The sequence below is a fragment of the Homo sapiens genome, chromosome 1 (assembly GCF_000001405.40).
Source record: "Homo sapiens chromosome 1, GRCh38.p14 Primary Assembly".
Classification (NCBI taxonomy): domain Eukaryota; kingdom Metazoa; phylum Chordata; class Mammalia; order Primates; family Hominidae; genus Homo; species Homo sapiens.
Window position 1 is genome coordinate 8684985 of NC_000001.11, and position 19214 is coordinate 8704198.

General features: G+C 40.9%; 1 protein-coding gene across 2 annotated transcripts in view, besides 5 other annotated features; it reads right to left on the bottom strand.

Annotated features, from left to right (window-relative positions):
* RERE (arginine-glutamic acid dipeptide repeats) overlaps positions 1–19214 on the bottom strand; it is a 465237-nt gene that overhangs the window by 332581 nt on the left and 113442 nt on the right. The window lies entirely within an intron of this gene.
* Positions 2272–2321: a silencer, noted in NCBI's record as "silent region_198". NCBI's record gives its function as "represses an Ori minimal core promoter by ATAC-STARR-seq in GM12878 lymphoblastoid cells {active_cell/tissue: GM12878}" and the evidence as "EXISTENCE:reporter gene assay evidence [ECO:0000049][PMID:35858748]".
* Positions 5695–6195: an enhancer, noted in NCBI's record as "H3K4me1 hESC enhancer chr1:8750738-8751238 (GRCh37/hg19 assembly coordinates)". NCBI's record gives its function as "activates a minimal SCP1, AML or CMV promoter by ChIP-STARR-seq in naive H9 embryonic stem cells {active_cell/tissue: H9 hESC(naive)}" and the evidence as "EXISTENCE:reporter gene assay evidence [ECO:0000049][PMID:30033119]".
* Positions 8186–8480: a silencer, noted in NCBI's record as "tiled region #13529; HepG2 Repressive non-DNase unmatched - State 19:H4K20, and K562 Repressive DNase matched - State 14:Gen5'". NCBI's record gives its function as "represses a minimal TATA promoter and a strong SV40 promoter by Sharpr-MPRA in HepG2 and K562 cells {active_cell/tissue: HepG2 | K562}" and the evidence as "EXISTENCE:reporter gene assay evidence [ECO:0000049][PMID:27701403]".
* Positions 16235–16334: a silencer, noted in NCBI's record as "silent region_199". NCBI's record gives its function as "represses an Ori minimal core promoter by ATAC-STARR-seq in GM12878 lymphoblastoid cells {active_cell/tissue: GM12878}" and the evidence as "EXISTENCE:reporter gene assay evidence [ECO:0000049][PMID:35858748]".
* Positions 18050–18669: a silencer, noted in NCBI's record as "silent region_200". NCBI's record gives its function as "represses an Ori minimal core promoter by ATAC-STARR-seq in GM12878 lymphoblastoid cells {active_cell/tissue: GM12878}" and the evidence as "EXISTENCE:reporter gene assay evidence [ECO:0000049][PMID:35858748]".

The window sequence follows — 19214 nt, forward strand, 5'->3', positions numbered from 1 at the left end:
GTAACTGGGACCACAGACACGTGCCACCACAGCCAGCTAATTTTTCAATTTTTTGTAGAGACAAGGTCTCACTATGTTACTCAGGGTGGTCTCAAACTCCTGGGCTCAAGCAATCCTCTCTTCTAGGCTGCCCAAAGCACTGGGATTATAGGAGTGACATACCACACCCAGCCCAAATTTGGATTTTAAAGAACTAATTTGATGCTTCCATAGAGAGGAACTTTTAAACTACACATTTCCTGATTCAACAGTTTACCTACTACACACAGAAAGGCTTTCCAGGAAGCATTTTATATTTGCTAAATAACGGTAAGTAAAATATTTTAAAGTCATCCAAGTTTCAATAACAATTATCATTACTTCCTTACTTTGAAAGCTACAACCATATTTCCAAGTATTAAAACAACAAAATACAAATAATCCTAAGAAATCCACAATAAAGATTTATCTATTAAGGCCGGGCGCGGTGGCTCACGCCTGTAATCCCAGCACTTTAGGAGGCCGAGGTGGGTGGATCGCGAGGTCAGGAGATCTAGACCATCCTGGCTAACACGGTGAAACCCTGTCTCTACTAAAAACACACACACAAAAAAACAAAAAAAATCAGCCGGGTGTGGTGGCACGCCCCTGTAGTCCCAGCTACTCTACTGTTTAGAATCGTTTTCAATGTCCAAAAATGTGACTGCTTTAGAGATGCCAAATAAGACTAATTTAAATAACCTAAGATTGCTCCAATTACCGCTGGTTTTTCAGGTGGTACAATGTATAAACCAAAGAAAAGAAGCTGGTGCATAAAACTCAGCTGGCTGAAGAAGTTAAAAATAAAACTCCACAATGATATGTGGTTTGGGGAAAAACATCAGAGTTCCATTTAGACATGTTAAGTGTTAGGTGCTTACTGGACATGTGAGTGGAGCTATATCTTCTGAGTGGAGATACAAGGAAGGCAGCTAAGTAGGTCTGGACTAAAGATAACATTTTAAACTCTTTAGGTAATTTTTTTTTTTTTTTTTGGAAACAAGGTCTCACATCCATCACCCAGGCTGGAGAGCAGTAGCACGATCTCAGCTCACTGCAGCCTCGACTTCCCAAGCTCAGGCAATCCTCCCACCTCAGACTCCCAAGTAGCTGGGACTACAGATGCACATCACCATGCCTGGCTAATTTATTGTATTTTTAGTAGAGACGGGGTTTTGCCATGTTGCCCAGGATGGTCTTGAACTCCTGGGATCAAGCAATCCGCTCGTCTTGGCCTCTCACGGTGCTAGGATTACAGGTGTAAGCCACTGTGTCTAGCCTGCATTTAGGTAATTTTTAAAGCCATGCATCCTAGGGAATTACGTAGAAATTCAACAAATATTTATCAGACACCTATTATGTGCTGGAGATAGAGCAGTAAACCAAAGAGTCAAAATTCTCTGTCATTCAGGACTTTACATTCTGGTGGAAGAAACAAGACAATAAGCAATAAAAATAAAGATGTAGCCGGGCACGGTGGCTCATGCCTGTAATCCCAGCACTTTGGGAGGCCAAGGCGGGTGGATCACCTGAGGTCAGGAGTTCAAGACCAGCCTGGCCAACATGGTGAAACCCCATCTCCACTAAAAATACAAAAATTAGCTGGGTGTGGTGGTGGGTGCCTGTAATCTCAGCTACTTGGGAGGCTGAGGCAGCAGGATCACTTGAACCCGGGAGGTGGCGGTTGCAGTAAACTGAGATTACGCCATTGTACTGCAGCCTAGGCGACAAGAGCGAAACTCAGTCTCAAAAAAAAAATAAAGGTGTAGTTTGTGATGAAGACAAGTACTCTAGGGGAAAACAGAGCAGAGTAAGGACAAAGTAGAGCCGAGACTGAGGGTCAAGGTAGGCCTCTCACTGAGACTCGAAAGCGGGACGGTGAGCTACAGATATTTGGAGAAACATATCCCAGGCAGAAGGAACAGTCAGTGCAGAGGCCTTAGTGATCATCACAAGGGCAGTTTCCCTGGAGCAACAACGGATGGATTTAAGAGGAAAGGAGAACTGGAGATCTGGGTACAGAAAACTCTTGTTGAGAAGTTTTTCTGCAAAGGAAGCAGAGAAATCAGCAATAGCTGGCAGAGTAAGTGGGATCCAAATACGGGAGTTTGTATCTGTTTTAAGATTGGAGAAAAGCGGCATGTTTGTATGCTGCTGGGAAAGATCCAGCAGAGAATGAAACATCAACATTATGAGAGACAGGAAATTACTATGTGAGAGGGCACGGGTGGCGCCTCAGAGAGTTCCCTGAACAGCTGGTCTATACACAAGCAGTGGGGAAAGCACAGGATGCCCTGGAAGGTGGCAAGATGTGGTAGGAGTCTGCAGAAGGGCTCTTAAGACTGTTCTGATTTTCTCATGCAAGTAGGAAGCCCACCATGAGGCCAAGGAGGAAGTATAAAAGGACAATGTATGAAACAGGCATCTAAGAAACTGCATAAGTGAATGGACTTGCCCAGGAGCCTTAAAGCTCCATTTGACGTTTATTAACCAATTGGGAATTAACACTGAGAAACTCACCAAATCTGAGACATAAAGGCTGACTCTGACTTTCTACTATAAATAAAAAATTCTCTAACAAACTGCTGAAAATGGTCAGTGTCTAACATATTTGAATATACAATACTTGGGGAGAGTCGTAATTTCTCCAAATAATGTGTTGAAAGAGATTACATCCCATTTTCACACCATATTCATAATTGCTTCGTCATACATAACTTGAAGGGAGTCATCAGTCATTGAAGGATTTAATAACCTTAAGCTGAAGTTAACTCCCTTATGTCAGACCACAGTAAACAAAAGCAGGGTTTTAATGCCTTAAGCCAATTATATATTGCAAAGTAAAACATCTTATATTCTTATTCACAGAAGTACAAATTTAGTTTTAGTTTAGTTATATTCTTATTCACAGAAGTACAAATTTACACAAAAAGATTATCTAACAGCATTCAATTAATCACCAAGAACTGCCATATAAAAATCTATTTCTAATAATATGGTCCTGGTTGCACAACTCTATGAACACAGATGGTCCCCAACTTAAGAGGGTCTAACATACGATTTTTTCAAATTAACAACAGTCCAAAAGTGATACGCATTCAGTGGAAAACATACTCTAGGTAACCACACAACTATTCCATTTTTCACTTTCAGTTCAGGGCACAGCGACTAACGCCTATAATCTCAACACTTTGGAAGGCCAAGTCAGGAGGATCGCTTGAACCAACGAGTTTGAGAGGAGCCTGGAGAACATGAGACCCCTATCTCTACAAAAAATTTAAGGCCAGGCATGGTGGCTCATGCCTGTAATCCCAACACTTTGGGAGGCAAAGGCGGATGACCTGAACTCAGGAGTCGAAGACCAGCCTGGGTAACATGGTGAAACCCCGTCTCTACTAAAAATACAAAAATCAGCTGGGCGCAGCACCTGCTATTGTAATCCTAGCTACTTGGGAGGCTGAGGCAGAAGAATCCCTTGAACCCAGGAGGTGGAGGTTGCAGTGAGCCAAAATTGTACCACTGCACTCCAGCCTGGGCAAAAGAGTAAGACTCCATCTCAAAAAAAAAAAAATTAAAATTAAAATTAAAAAATTAGCCAGGCATAGTGGCACACACCTGTAGCCTCCCAGCTACTCCAGAAGCTAAGGTGGGAGGATAACTTGAGCATGGGAGCTATGATCGTGCCACTGGGCAAAACATCTATCTGTCTGTCCATTTGTCCATCCATTCATCCACTCATACATATATACCATGAGATATCCAACACTTTCTTATATAATAGGATTTATGTTAGATGATTTTGCCCAACTGTAGGCTAATGCAAGTGTTCTGAGCATGTGTAACATCGGCTAAGCTAAGCTATGGATTTTGGTAGATTAGGTGAATTAAATTCATTTTCGACATGTATTTTCAACTTAGGATGGGTTTCCTGGGACACAACTCCATCTTAAGTCAAGGAACAGCTATATACTGGAAACCATTGATTTGTATACTTTTTAAATGAGTGAGCTATCTCGTATAGGAATTTTCTCTCAATAAAGCTTTTTTAAAAATCTATTCCAAGCTTTTAATCTAAAGAAATAGTTTTATCAAGTAAAAATTTGATTTTTTTTTTAGTTTCTTTGTTGAAATTTCAATGGAAAATGGAGCAAATTAAGTATGTTCTGACAGCTTATGAATATAAACTTTGTAGAGACTCAGAATTCTTTCAGAATGAAGGGCAGAATTAAGGATGGAGTTTTTGGCCTTTGGTTTGGTTGTTTTTCTTCTTTAGTTGACTAAAGTTTATAGTTTCTGGCATTCCTGCTTTATCCCTTTGATGAAGACATACTCAAATCACTTTGACTAAAATAAACAGCAATTTTCTGGTTGTAGATAGCCACAAATAACTCCTCTATCCTATTACAGACATTCATCAGCAAGACTGAGTAACAAACCAATACCTGTATAAAAATGAAAGGATACAATATCACAAGTACTAATTCAGGTAATATCACATTTCTTAGAGTTATGACACTTCAAAGAAATTTTATACTTCAAATCTAAACAGCAGGCCAAGGAATTCATATTTTTTCCCTGAGACAGGAAAGATAATTCAATAATTTCCCCACTGAAGTTTCAGTTCCCATGCCAGAATGTGAGAAGTGAGAGAGTTCTTCACCTTGAAAATCAAATCACCACAGGGACTAAAAATAAAGGTTATATTCTTCTAAGCAAAGCGATTATAAGACTGACAAATTAAGGTGCCCATCGAAGGAGCAATGGATACAGGAAAAAAAAAAAAAAAACTACTAACAGGCTTAGTTAGCCACTTCCAAAATGTAAACTGTAAATGTGGGAAACTCAATGAACTGCCCTACACTTGCATCTCATTTTGTGTAACCTGAGAGGCTAACATCTGTTCTGCCTCCTTCAGAAGGCAGCTGTAAGGATGGAACTAGAGGCCAGTAAAGGCTGTTCAGTAGGTCTAAAGTCTTCTGCCAAGAGAAGTATAATCCTCATTTCGTTCTCAAAAAGCTCAGTCTCTGTAGTAACATACTGATCATCTTCTGCAGGTATAAAATTTATGCTCTGTATTAGTCCGCCATAACAGAATACCACAGACTGGGTGGCTTAAACAGCAAAAATTTATCGCTTGCAGTTTCGGAGTCTCAGAAGTCCAAGATCAAGGTGCCAGCAGATTCACTTTCTCAATGAGGGCTCTCTTCCTAGCTTGCAAATGGCCACCTTCTGGGGCTGTGTCCTTACATGTCAGAGTGAGCACTGGTCATCTCTGGTCTCTCTTCCTCTTCTTATAAGGACACTAATCACATCATGAGGAGCCCCACCCTCAGGATCTCATCTAAACCTAACTGCCTTCCAAAGGCTCCACCTCCAAATACTATAGCACTTGGGGAACGGAAAGCTAAGGCTTGAACATAGGAATTTTGAGGCAATACAATTCAGTCCACGGCACTCGCCTACACAATTTCTTTACTGATTGTCTCTAGGCAGAAATTAAATCTTTGTATCGAGAGAGAAAGATAGTTTGAAAGGATGGCTTTAAAGGGGGCTGAAGGTAGCTTACTGAGATTTAGACAATGTAAAATAAAATTTAAGAACAGATGAGGGTATTTGGTGGAGAATAATAGCTAAGAAGTATTAAGTATTTACCTTTGTGGATAGTTTCCTTAGGTCACACACCTAGTTTCACGGGTCACACAGGCTACAAAGCCTTTACTTTTAATTATACAATATTTGCTTCTCTTTTCCTTGGAACAAAGGAAAAAATAGAAGAGGAGGAGAATCTAAAAGATGAAACCATGAATGAGCTGCTACATAAAAGTATGTATTCATGTTCATTTTGTACCTTTTGTTAGATGTGGCCAAAATTTTAGTTTATTTTTTATTTTTATTTATTTATTTATTTATTTTTGAGACGGTGTCTCGCTCTGTCACCAGGCTGGAATGCAGTGGTGCAATCTCGGCTTATTGCAACCTCTGCCTCCCAGGTTCAAGCAGTTCTCCTGCCTCAGCCTCCTGAGTAGCTGGGACTATAGGCGCGCACCACCACGCCCAGCTAATCTTTGTATTTTTAGTACAGACGGGGTTTTACCATGTTGGCCAGGATGGTCTCGATCTCTTGACCTTGTGATCTGCCCGCCTCCACCTCCCAAAGTGCTGGGATTACAGGCATGAGCCACCGTGCCCGGCCGGCCAAAATTTTACAAGCAAATGGCTCAAAGGAAACTTGATGAGTTACAGGATTCTAAATCTGTAAGTTAGAAAACAAACCACATGCTCAGAAGGTCTGGTTTTTTTTGGTACTAAGAGCTAAGAAAAGTTTATCTCTATGTCCTCATAAAGAAAGCAGTTTAATACGGTCAACAGCAGCCTTGGGAACCCCTTTATAAACCATTCAGTACACACAAACACTGTTCCACAAGTGTTCGCACAAGTCAATGGCCTCAAATCAATATAAGTAAAGCAAACCTGCCAAAAATAAGAAATGCAAAGCCTTCCTAGTCATTCAAACATAGATCTAGGGCTCACCAGAATAGGAGTTCTTAATGAGAGGGTTCATGGATAGGCTTCAAAGGCTACATAAACCATCTGCAATTTATGTACTCAAACAGTCACAAATTATGTTCTGGGAGAAAGATCATATATTACACCAATACTCAAAGAAGTCCCTGATAAAAATAAAGTTAAGGACCTGTAACAAGAATTAATGAACTACATAACCATCAGGAGAGCCTATCCAAATCATCTTAACAACCAAGGCACTGGGTACTTATATGCCACAATTAGGCTGATGTTAAATTCCAACAAGTAGCTAGTACTGGATAAATGCAGAGTCAAACGCTCTAACTTAGCTTACCCTGGAAGTAGTTCTAACCTCCTCTAAGAAGTGCACAGTACCTGTTGCATAGTAAGCCCCTGAATATGCACTGCTGCAATTATTACTGGATATATTACAAGCTCCAAGGACAGGACCAAATCTTCTGCATTTCTGAGTTCCTTGATCATTAAAATAAATGGTCCTCAATAAAGAAAGAAAATAATACAAACATTTAACTCTACATAGATCTAGCAAATAAGGACCTTAGCAGAATGGGTTTATTTCTAAAAACTGAAAAGCATCCCTTTGTTTTATAAAATGAAATGTTTTGGAAAACGAAGAACACAGGGAAACTGAGGGGAAATAACACTTACATGGAACCACTAACAAATTCATACTACGGTCATCCCTCGGTATCCAAGGGGAACTGGTTCCAGAACCTCCACAGATACCAATATCCAGACACTCGTATATAAAACGGTATAGTATCTGCATATAACCTACTCACATTCTCCCATATACTTTTTTTTTTTCTTTTTTTTTGAGATGGAGTCTCACTGTGTCACCCAGGCTGGAGTGCAGTGGTGTGATCTCAGCTCACTGCAACTTCTGCCTCCCATTTCAAGCGATTCTTCCGCCCCAGACTCCCGAGTAGCTGCGACTAGAGGCGCCTACCACCACATCTGGCTAATATTTTTGTATTTTTAGTAGAGACAGGGTTTCACTATAATGGCCAGGCTGGTCTCTAACTCCTGATCTCAAGTGATCTGCCCGTCTAGGCCTCCCAAAGTGCTGGGATTACAGGCATGAGCCACCGTATTCGGCCCGGTATACTTTAAAAAGAATCTCTAGATTACGTATAATACCTAATATAATATAAACGCTATATTTTTTAATTTGTGCTTTTTTCTAAACATTTTTGCCCCACAGTTGATTAAATCCGTGGACACAGAAGCCAAGAATACAAAGGGCTTAGTGTAGCATATTTTACATGAACCCTAACCTATCACTCTACCAGAATTATGCCCATTTAAAAATCTAATTAGATTGTATTATTCCTTTTTACATCTAAAGTTTATGCTTTCCGCTTACAAGACAGAGTATGAGGCACATGTAATGCATAAGATTTATGGTCCTCGTTTCTCCTGCTCCATGACAAATAGTAGAGAAAAATAAAAACTGTAACAGAGCTGGCATCGGAAATGAGCAGTTATATGAAAAAAAAAATTTAATAACTAAGAAGGGCTAAAATCCACTACACTGACAACACCAAATGGTAGCAAGTATGTGGAGCAACAGAAACTCTCATTCATTGCTTGTGGGAATGCAAAATGCTAGAGACACCTCGCAAGACAGCATGGCCGTTTCTTACAAAACTAAACATACTCTTACCATGGGACACAGAAATCACACACCTTCATATTTACTCAAAGGAGCTGAAAACTTATCTCACCACAAAAAACTGCACACAGATGCTTAAAGCAGCTTTATTCATCATTGCCAAAACCTGGAAGCAATCCAGATGTCCTTCGGTAGGTAAGCAGATAAATAAACTTCAGCACAGCTACATGATGGAATATTATCAGTGATAAAAAGTAGTGAGCTATCATGCTCACAGAGACATGGAGAAACCTTAAGTACATTTTGCTAAGAGAAATAAACCAATCTGAAAAGACTACATACTGTATGAGTCCAGTTATATGACATCTGGAAAGCAAACCTATGGAGATATTAAAAAAGATCAGTGGTGGCCAGGGGCTTGGGGGCAGAGAGGGAGGGATGAATAGGGAGAACATAGGGCATGTTTAGAGCAGTAAAGACTCTTCTATATGATATTGTAATGGTAGATGCATGTTATGAAACATTTCAAAACCCATGGAATGTATAACACCAAGAGTGAACCTTAACATACACTATAGACTTTAGTTATAAATAATGTATCAATATTGGCTCATCAACAATAACAATGTACCAAACTAATTCAAGATGTTAATAGGGGAAACTGGGAGTTAGGGGGGATGCGGGAACTCTGTACTTTCTACTCAATTTATCTGCAAACCCAAAACCATTCTAAAAACTAGTCTACTGATTTAATGTTTTAAAATTTTTTAATGTTTTAATCTACCATATAAAATAAAATGCTACTTATCTAAATGCTTAAATGTTAGGCCTGTTAGCAAAACTGAACAACACCAATTTTCTTTCCCAAAAAAAAAAAAAAAAAAGGCCAGATTGCTTTAATCCTTACATTTTCCGCACTTTTAGTTCTCCTTTTCCATTCAAAGAGCCAGGAAGTGCTAGCCAGAGCAATCAGGCAACAGAAAGAAATAAAAGGCATCCAAACAGGAAAAGAAGAAGTCAAGCTACTGCTCTTTGCTGGCAATATGATTCTATACCTAGAAAACCCTGAAGACGCCATCAAAAGACTCCTGGTACAATAAACAACTTCAGTAAAAGTTTCAGGATACAAAGTCAATGTACAAAACTCAGCAGTATGTCTATACACCAATAATGTTGAAGCTGAGAGCCAATCCAGAATGCAATCCTATTTATAATAGCCATAAAGAAAGAAAATAACTAGGAATACACCTAACCAAGGAGGGGGAAAATCTCTGCAAAGAGAACTAAAACACACTGCTAGAAGAAATGACAGGTGGGCTGGGCGGGGTGGCTCACGCTTGTAATCCAAGCACTTTGGGAGGTTGAGGCGGGCAGATCACAAGGTCAGGAATTCAAGACCAGCCTGATCAATATGGTGAAACCCCATCTCTACTAAAAATACAAAAATTAGCCGGGCGTGGTGGCACATGCCTGTAGTTCCAGCTACTCGGGAGACTGAGGCAGGAGAATCATTTAAACCCGGGAGGCAGAGGTTGAAATGAGCCAAGATCATACCTCTGCATTCACGGCTGGGTGACAAAGCGAGACTCTATCTCAAAAAAAAAAGAAATGACAGATGACACAAATGGAAAAACATTTGATGCTCATAGATTGGAAGAATCATTAAAATGACCACACTTTCCTAAGCAATCTACAGATTTAATGCTATTCCTATCAAACTACTAATGTCATTTTTCACAGAATTAAACAAAGTAATTCTAAAATTCATATGAAACCAAAAAAAGTACCCAAAGAGCCAAAGAAATCCTAAGGGGGGGGGGGGAATGCTGGCAGCATCACATTATCCAACTTCAAGCTATACTATAAGGCTACGGTAATCAAAACAGGAGGGTACAGGTACAAAAACAGACACATAGACCAATGAAACAGAATAGAGAACCTACAAATAAAGTCATAAACCTACAGCCATCTGATCTTTGACAATGCTGACAAAAACAAGCAATGGGTAAAGGACTGCCTATTCAAAAAATGGTGCTGGGATAGCTAGCTAGCCATATGCAGAACTGGACCGCTACCTTTTCCCATATATAAACATCAACTCAAGGTGGATTAAATATTTAAATGCAAGACCACAAACTGTAAAAATCCCAGAAGAAAACCTAAAAAACACCATTCCGACCCTTGGCTTTAGGAAATAATTTATGACTAAGTCCTCAAAAGCAACTGCAACAAAAACAAAAATTGACAACTGGGACCTAATTAAACTAAAGAGCTTCTGCACAGCAAAAGAAACTATCAACAAAGGGCCAGGCATGGTAGCTCATGCCTATAATCCCAGCATTTTGGGAGGCCCAGGGGGGCGGATCACCTGAGGTCAGCAGTTTGAGATCTGCCTGAACAACATGGTGAAGCTCCATTTCTACTAAAAAAAAAAAAAAAAAAAAAAAAAAAGCCAGGCATGGTAGTGAGCGCCTGTAATCCCAGCTACTTGGGAGGCTGAGGCAGAGAATCACTTGAACCTGGGAGGTGGAGGTTGCAGCGAGCTGAGATCACGCCACTGCACTCCAGTCTGGGTAACAGGGTGAGACTCCAACTCAAAAAAACAAAACTGTCAACAAAGTAAACAGACAACCTACAAAATAGCAGAAAATATTTAAATATCATGCATCTGACAAAGGTCTAATACCCAGAATCTATAAGGAACTTTAACAATACAACAAGCAGAAAACAAATAACCCCATTACAAACTAAGCAAAAGGCATTAACAGACATTCCTCAAAAGAAGACATACAAGTGGCCAACAAATATGATAAAATGTTTAACATCATTCATCATCAGAGAGATGCAAATCAAAACCACAATGAAATATCGTCTCACGCCAGTCAGAATGGCTATTATTAAAAAGCCAAAAAACAACAGACACTGGTGAGGCTGTGGATAAAAGGGAACAGTTATACACTGTTGGTGGGAACATAAATTGGTTCAGCCACTGTGGAAAGCAGTTTGGAGATTTCCCATTACCAGGTATACATGCAAAAGAAATTAAATCGTTCTACCAAAAATACACATGCACTCGTATGTTCATCACAGCGCTATACACAATACCAAAGACATGGAATCAACCTAGGAACCCACCAATGATGGACTGATAAAGAAAATGTGGTACAGGCTGGGTACGGTAGCTCGCGTCTGTAATCCCAGCACTATGGGAGGCAGAGGTGAGCAGATCACCCGAGCTCAAGAGTTGGGAGACTAGCCAGGGCAACATGGTAAAACCCCATCTCTACTAAAAAGATAAAAATTAGCCAGGTGTGGTGGCACACATCTGTAGTCCCAGCTACTCAGGAGGCTGAGGCAAAAGAATCGCTTGCACCCGCAAGGTGGAGGTTGCAATGAGCTGAGATTGTGCCACTGAACTCCTGCCTAGGCAACAGAGTGAGACACTCTCACAAATAAACGAACAAGGCTGGGCGCGGTGGTTCACGCCTGTAATCCCAGCACTTTGGGAGGCTGAGGCGAGTGGATTACCTGAGGTCAGGAGTTCGAGACCAGCCTGGCCAACACGGTGAAACCCCATCTCTACTAAAAATACAAAAATTAGCAGGGCATGGTGGCAGGCGCCTGTAGTCCCAGCTACTCAGGAGGCTGAGGCAGGAGTATAGCTTGAACCCAGGAGGCAGAGATTATAGAGAGCTGAGATTGCGCCACTGCACTCCAGCCTCGGCAACAGAGCAAGACTCCATCTCAAAAATAAAAAATAAAATAAAAACAGTTGAAATTATCAAAAAAAAAAAGTAAATAAAATGTAATGGAGGTACTAGTGAAAAAAATAATAAGATCCAAACTCAAATTGCTCCTGCACCCAACACACTTAAGAGTAAATACTGTTAAGAGTCCTTTCCATGAACATCTAACATATTGAGAAAGGTGAATATTTCATTACTGAACATTTACTCTAACCTATGTTAAGAATTATGATCTGTGGAAAGAGCACAGGCTAAGGAAGCTGCCTAGGTAAATAGCCAAAAAACATACACATAAGATGAAAACTTGTCTGCGTCATTTTCCTACCACTCAAAAAAGAAGGTAACAGTAAGAAATAAACAGCAAAAACAAAAAGAAAAAATTGTTCAAATGTTCAATCTAGATATAGGTTTTTCTGTATAATTTAATCAATTAATAAATAAATACACATGTATCTTTCTTCCCCCAACCACACCCCCCCCACACAACTTTTTTTTTTTTTTGAGACGGAGTCTCACTCTGTCCCCCAGGCTGGAGTGCAGTGGCGTGATCTCAGCTCACTGCAAGCTCCGCCTCCCAGGTTCACGTCATTCTCCTGCCTCCGCCTACCGAGTAGCTGGGACTACAGGCACCCGCCAACACACCCGGCTAATTTTTTGTATTTTTACAAAATGTTTTTCACCATGTTAGCCAGGACGGTCTCGATCTCCTGACCTCGTGATCCGCCGCCTCGGCCTCCCAAAGTGCTGGGATTACAGGCGCGAGCCACCACACCCAACCTACCACACACAACTTTCTAAAGTTCCTGGATAATGTTCTAAACTCTTTTTCTATGTTTTACATGTAACTTATGCAAGCCATTCACTTTACTAAGCAAATGAACAGTAGTGTCTGTGGCCAAAAATAATAAGACTTAAAATTTTGAGTCCTTCCAAAAGAACTTGTATTAAATCTTTGGAATAGAAAAAAAAAGTTCATATTAGGGAGTAGATCTGGGTATTGAAAGGCCTGTCTTTTTTTGTTGGTAATGCCAAAGAATGTCATCACACAAGACTCACCTTATAATATTATTTATGTATAAGTTATCAATTACATATATTTAACATTTTAAGTGAAAGCAAGTTTATTAAGAAAGCAAAGGAATAAAGAACGGCTATTCCTTAGGCAGAGTAGCCTATATTTAACATTTTTTAAATGTTTAAAATTATAAAGCTGGTGAGTAAAACAAAAACATCTTTGAGTGATACAGATCGGCAGAATTTCCCCAGCCTCATTCCTGAGAGACCACCACATAAAAATAACTTGGTTATCTGCTTCTGTATGTAAACTCAGGTTGTTTGTGCAAAACATAAACTGCCCCAACTAAGAAATCCTGAAGAACATGCAAAAGGAGGTACTTTCACTGTCATTTTATTAAAAGGCACACAAGTCACTACTGCTGAATATACCACTGTTTCTACCCAGCTATTTTAAAATTATTGGTAGATAATGTGGTGAGCTACTGGTAAATACAGCTGTGAACACAGCAGCACACACCATCTGGAGGCTTTTGACTTAAGCGATTTTTCAAATGCACAGTATATTTACACTCTTTTGTTCCTTTGAAGCCCACCAGTCACATATAAATGGACCCTTTCTTAAAACTACAACTACAAAAGCTCATTCATCTTGTGGAAAACAAGATATGAGAAACAAATCTAATTGTTCAGCTTTAGAACAAGTGATTATTTCAAATCATTAACAGCATAAATACTTTACTTTTTCTATTTTTATTTTTTTTAATAGATAGAGACAGGGTCTCGCTATGTTGCCAAGGCTAGTCTTGAACTTCTGGACTCCAGAGATCGAGATCTTCCCAATAGGGCCTCTCAAAATGCTAGGATTACAGACGTGAGCCACTGCACCTGGCCCCAACACTTTACTTTTATAATGATCTCCCATACTTACCCATTATATTCTTATTATCTTAACAAGAAGCTTCTGATTAATACTCTAAAATTAAATGTTTTCTTCTTTTTTGTTTTTCAATGAGACAGGGTCTTGCCCTGTCACTCTGGCTGGAGTGCAGTGGTGCAATCATGGCTCACTAACCTGCTCAGAAATTATGTTTGTAAGTTTCACGAATCATCATGCTCATTTTTATTTGTTTTGTCCTCCTCCACTGGAAAATAAATGCTATGAGAACAGAGACTTCATCTTTTTTGTATCTTCAGCAACTAAAACAGTACCTAGTACATAATTAGTGCTCACTATGTTAACTATTCACTGTTTTCCCATGCTAAGCATGGTCCTAAAGCATTTCGTAAACCCTCTAGGTAGACTCATTATTTTCTGGTATGAGAAAACAGTCACAGAGGTTAAATAACTTACCCCAGGTATCACAGTGAGTAAGTGGTAAACTAAGAATAGAACTCAAACTCAGACAGCCTAACTATTTACCACTACGCTGTACTGAATAAATTAATGAATTACACCAGAGTTCAATGATAACATTAAAAATTGAGTAAAATTATGCTAATTTTCCTATTGACTAAGCATCAACATTATTCTGTTTTATTACAAATATTTAAGTATGTCAACTATTTCATGGATTAATTAGATTTTAGAGGGAAAGTCTAAGACCCCAATCATCATTAATATGTGGAATTGGATAACAACCTGGAAAAAGACTTACAAATGAACTTGTGATATAACCTGTTTGAATTGGATGTAGGATACCTACTTCCCTCCATTATTCCTTGGATTCAGCAGTCTGTTGCCAATCTGAATGTTTTAACTTCTTTTAATTAGAGAAAACATTTTCTATATAAGTTACAATGAAATTATCACGTTTTCTAGAAAATACTGCACTCTACTGCTTCATTCCAGGTTGTCTGAAGATGGACCAATTTCTCCAATGAATTAAAAAGTATCTTAGTCTAAGACAAGCTCTCTTTCTACCCAGCCACCCCCACGAGATCCCACTCCGCCCCAACAACCCTCAGCCCCCATCTTCTATCAGCAAACTGGGCCTCTGACACAAAGGTACCACATTTATAATATCAGCTTTAGTCATAAACAGATTTCAATCAAGTTTGTTTCTACGACTTTTGCTCCTTTTTAAAAATGCAATGGATAGCCCAGGCGCAGTGGCTCATGCCTGTAATACCAGCACTTTGGGAGGCCGAGGCGAGTGGATCACAAGGTCAGGAGTTCGAGACCAACCTCGCCAACATAGTGAAACCCCATCTCTACTAAAAATACAAAAATTAGCCAGGCGTGGTGGCACACGCTTGTAGTCCCAGCTACTCAGGAGGCTGAGGCTGGAGAATCACTTGAACCCGGGAGACGGAGGCTGCAGTGAGCCGAGACCATGCCATTGCACTCCAGCCTGGGTGACAGAGTGAGACTCCAACTCAAAAAAAATAAAAATAAAAATAAATGCAGTAGATAATAACAGCTCTGGACAGTAGTATCTACTCAACAGGAAAGCAGACAGTAAAGAGACCAGACCACTGAGAACCCATGTCAGTCACATTACAATCTATGTTACAGCCTGAAAAGCCTGAAAAGACTCAAATCTACTCATAAATACTTTCTAATAACTTGAAACAATAACACTATAAAATATCAAGTTGGCCACACATGCCCCTGAGCAGACACGTCTAAAAGCTTCTATGTGCCACCCAGCCCATGGCCAAACTGCTGTTGGTCAATGGGTTGCTCAAGTCCTTTTGTACAATGTAACGAGAGGTAAGAGACAAGGGGGAAACATTCTAGCCACCTTATCTCCAATGATGCCAACATTTATTTCTGCTTGAGTTTTACAAACTAATCCTAGACTAGTTAACAAAGAACCCATTTTTCATTGTTGATTTTTACACAAAATATTGGCTTCCTATGTCATTATAAAATGGATGGCTCCATCGGCTTCTCAGCCTACACAATAGCAAGCAAAACCCTTTGGCCTTGGAAAAGCATGGTAAATATAATACCTACTAATAAGTTACATGGTTTACCAATTTCCTCAAAATCAAAAATAAATCTCTCACAAGTCAACTATTAAATAAGTAAACAAAAGCTTGTCTTGTTCTATCACTTGCTTAAAAGCAAGCACGGTGGCATGGGAGAGGGATTAAGAAACACAACCAGTCAAGTCCATAAAACCTTCAGTGTAAGATAAAACTACCCTGTAGGAGCAGCCAATGCATTCTGACCTAACAGCTGTACACAGTTGCACTAGTTAAAATGAAAAGCTAGTCTGCATCACACACAGGCAATTCACTGAGCCTTACTGATACGTTGATGGGGTTTACCATCACAGTCTTCCCTCCCCTAACCTACAATGTAAAAAATGAATTGCCATATAGCTGAAGGCACCGGGATGGGGGTGAGGGGAATACACACACACACACACACACACACACACACACACACGCACACACTCCCTCCCTCCCTCTCTCAGGCATTTCAAAAATAATCACAACCATGTAGATTGTAACATATCCTATACGCTATAAAAACACACACACAAAGGAAGTGGTACAGCTACATTACGTCAGCTCTTGCCTCAATTCATAAATGCAAAAACCACAAAACAAGACAAAAATCTAAACGGCCTTTTTCTGGAAATCTTAGAGTGAATGAATGTGGGTTAAGTCTTTAAATATGTTATTGAACACTTCTCGCAGATGCATTGCTTTCATCAGCCACGGGGAGGGAAAAAGTGTAATCTTGGTCAATTCTATCATGCAACCAGATCAAATAACATTTCAAGTGCAGCCTGCCAAGCGCCAGCGCCTGCCGGAGTACAATGAGCGCTCAACTGCTCTGGACTGAAAAACCATCTTTCACTGGTCCCAGGGATCTTTATAAAATAGTTTAAACACTACTAAATTACAGAGTTAGAAAAAAAAAATACAAGCTCAACTCTGCTGCCCCCACACTATTGTGAAGCTGCTGTTAAGCATCTAAAAATCTGCCTTGTGTAATTTACTAGGCAATGTAAATATTCAGAAAGGCAACTGCCTCTCAGAGCCCAAGTCTAACACATGCATAAAAATGTAGAGTTGGTTGTGCTTCTGGAAATAATTGCCCACAGATCAACGTGCTTACATGGGATATTGTTCCCATCTGTAAGGTTTCAAATCATGTCTACTTTAAATTTGGAGTTTCCAGAAAGAGGAAAAAAAAAAAAAAGCCAGAACTCAAAACAGTAATTTTGGCACAGAATTGTGAGGACTTTGTTAAATCTGTTCTCAACTTTTACTCAGTGTCTCAATCTTAAAACACAGAGGCACAAAGGGAAAATGGAATTTCTCTGTAGACACCCGTGTTCATTCACAGACCATTTTTTAGATTTTCCGTGTGGCTGAGAGGCCTCCAGCCAAACAATGCCCACAGAGCGCGGGGCACATGTGCGCCAGGGACGCTTAAGGGCTGCAAGTAAAACAAAGTAACCTATTACAGGAGTTTCCTTCTCAGCAAACAAAAAGTGGTCAAGCAGGTCTCCCTACAGTTTCAGAAAACAAGAGTTGAGTAAACAAGAGAGGAGAAACAAGGAAGACAGCATCCCACACTAAAAAATTCTTTTAACAATTTAAACGTAAAACAATCGTCAAGAGTACCTCCGCATTTTAGCTACTCTGGCAAAATAACAGTAGTTCGGTCCAAGAAGAAAATTTCATTTGTCACTTAAGTAGCCTCAAATCAAGTCCATCAAATTCATTTTATTTTTAAACTTGTTTATTCCACAGTAAAGCAATGAAGTTTCTGATCAAAGAGCGACTTCTGCATTATACTCGGCTTCAAAAGCACTTTCCTTTCAGAAGAAAAAAATAAAAATATATACATATACATGTATTTTTAAATAGTGTTTTCTCTCCCCCCTCAAAAAAATGTTTTCTGTTCGATTTAATTAACTGAGATTTCAAGAGTTTGGGGCTACTTAAAAACTAGTGAGCCCAACAGAAATGCAATGGGACACGGCAAATACTGACTCCCCGTTCCTGGAAAGCCATCATCATTCTTAGGAACACCCGAGTTCCATCTTTCTAGGGTCGGCTGGAACACTCCGTGCACCCACCCCGAGCCCCCCGCCCGCACTTGTCCAACTTTCTGGCCCGAGATTCGCGTCCCCCTCGACGCACGAGGCCGCCGGCCACTTGCCTGCGGCCCGCTGGCGGCGAGAGCTGAGCCCGCGGGCCTGGTCCTCCTCCTCCGGCGCAGGGCCCCGCCAACTCCGGACCCGCGGAAAGGGGCGGCGCAGGCGGGCAGGTGGGGGCCCGGGGAGTGAAGTGCACTTGCTAAAACAAAAGGAGGCCTGAGCGGCCGCAGGGCACCGCGGCGCGGGCGCAGGTCCCGGCGGCTTGGCGGCTCCGGGAGGCGGTGGCCGCGCGGGGCCCCGCCCGCGGCTAGGGAGGCGGCCGCCCTGGCCCGAGCCTGCTGCCCACGGCCGCGGCACTCAGCTCGCACTCCTTCAGCCCGGGAGGCCGGGCCAGCACTGCCACATGCCGGTGACCCAGACGCCGGGAGAGAAAGAGCAGACTCCCCGCGACGGCGGCGGCCGGCAAAACCCGGGCTGGAGCCCAGCCCGCTCCGCGCGCACCCCTGCTGGCCGCCGCCGCGGGCGCGCGCACACACAATGCCAGCTGCAATTTTATCTCCTTCGTTGCTTGGCCAGCCTCCACCCGCTCCAATCCTCCCTCCCCTCCGACAGCCGGAACTGGGAGCCTGCGTGATTGATGGCAGCTCTTAATAGCGTGGTCAGCTAGAAAATGCATCTGCAAGCAAGATATTAAAGAGGCAGCGCATCCCTGTGAGTGATCAGCATTTCACACATCCTAGAGCTGCCTCTGCTTCTGCCAGGAATATTAATGCCAACCACCTCTGACGTCTAATAAATGCAGATGAAACAACCAACAATCACAGACAAGCTAAACATTTATTTCAAAGATGCACCGGGAGAAAGCAGCATTGTTTCGTGTCAAAGAACACTTCTGACCCCAGTTTTCCTTACACATTAAGAATTCTCTGCAAGCCATTTGTTTAAAAATCTCACCAATCCCTTTTCCACAAGTAAATAAAGATCCATCTGTTAGACAAGACATAGCTTAAATTGTGCATGATTGAAATTCATCTAATAAGGAAGCAAAATAAGTGCACATTCCTTACCATGTGGCTTTAAATAAACATATAACCTACCAGCTACCAGATTCCAAACTCCCTCATTAATTCAATTTTTATGTGAATCTTAACAGATTACCAACTGTTAATTTCAAACTAATTTCTTACCCACCCACAATTAATTCTG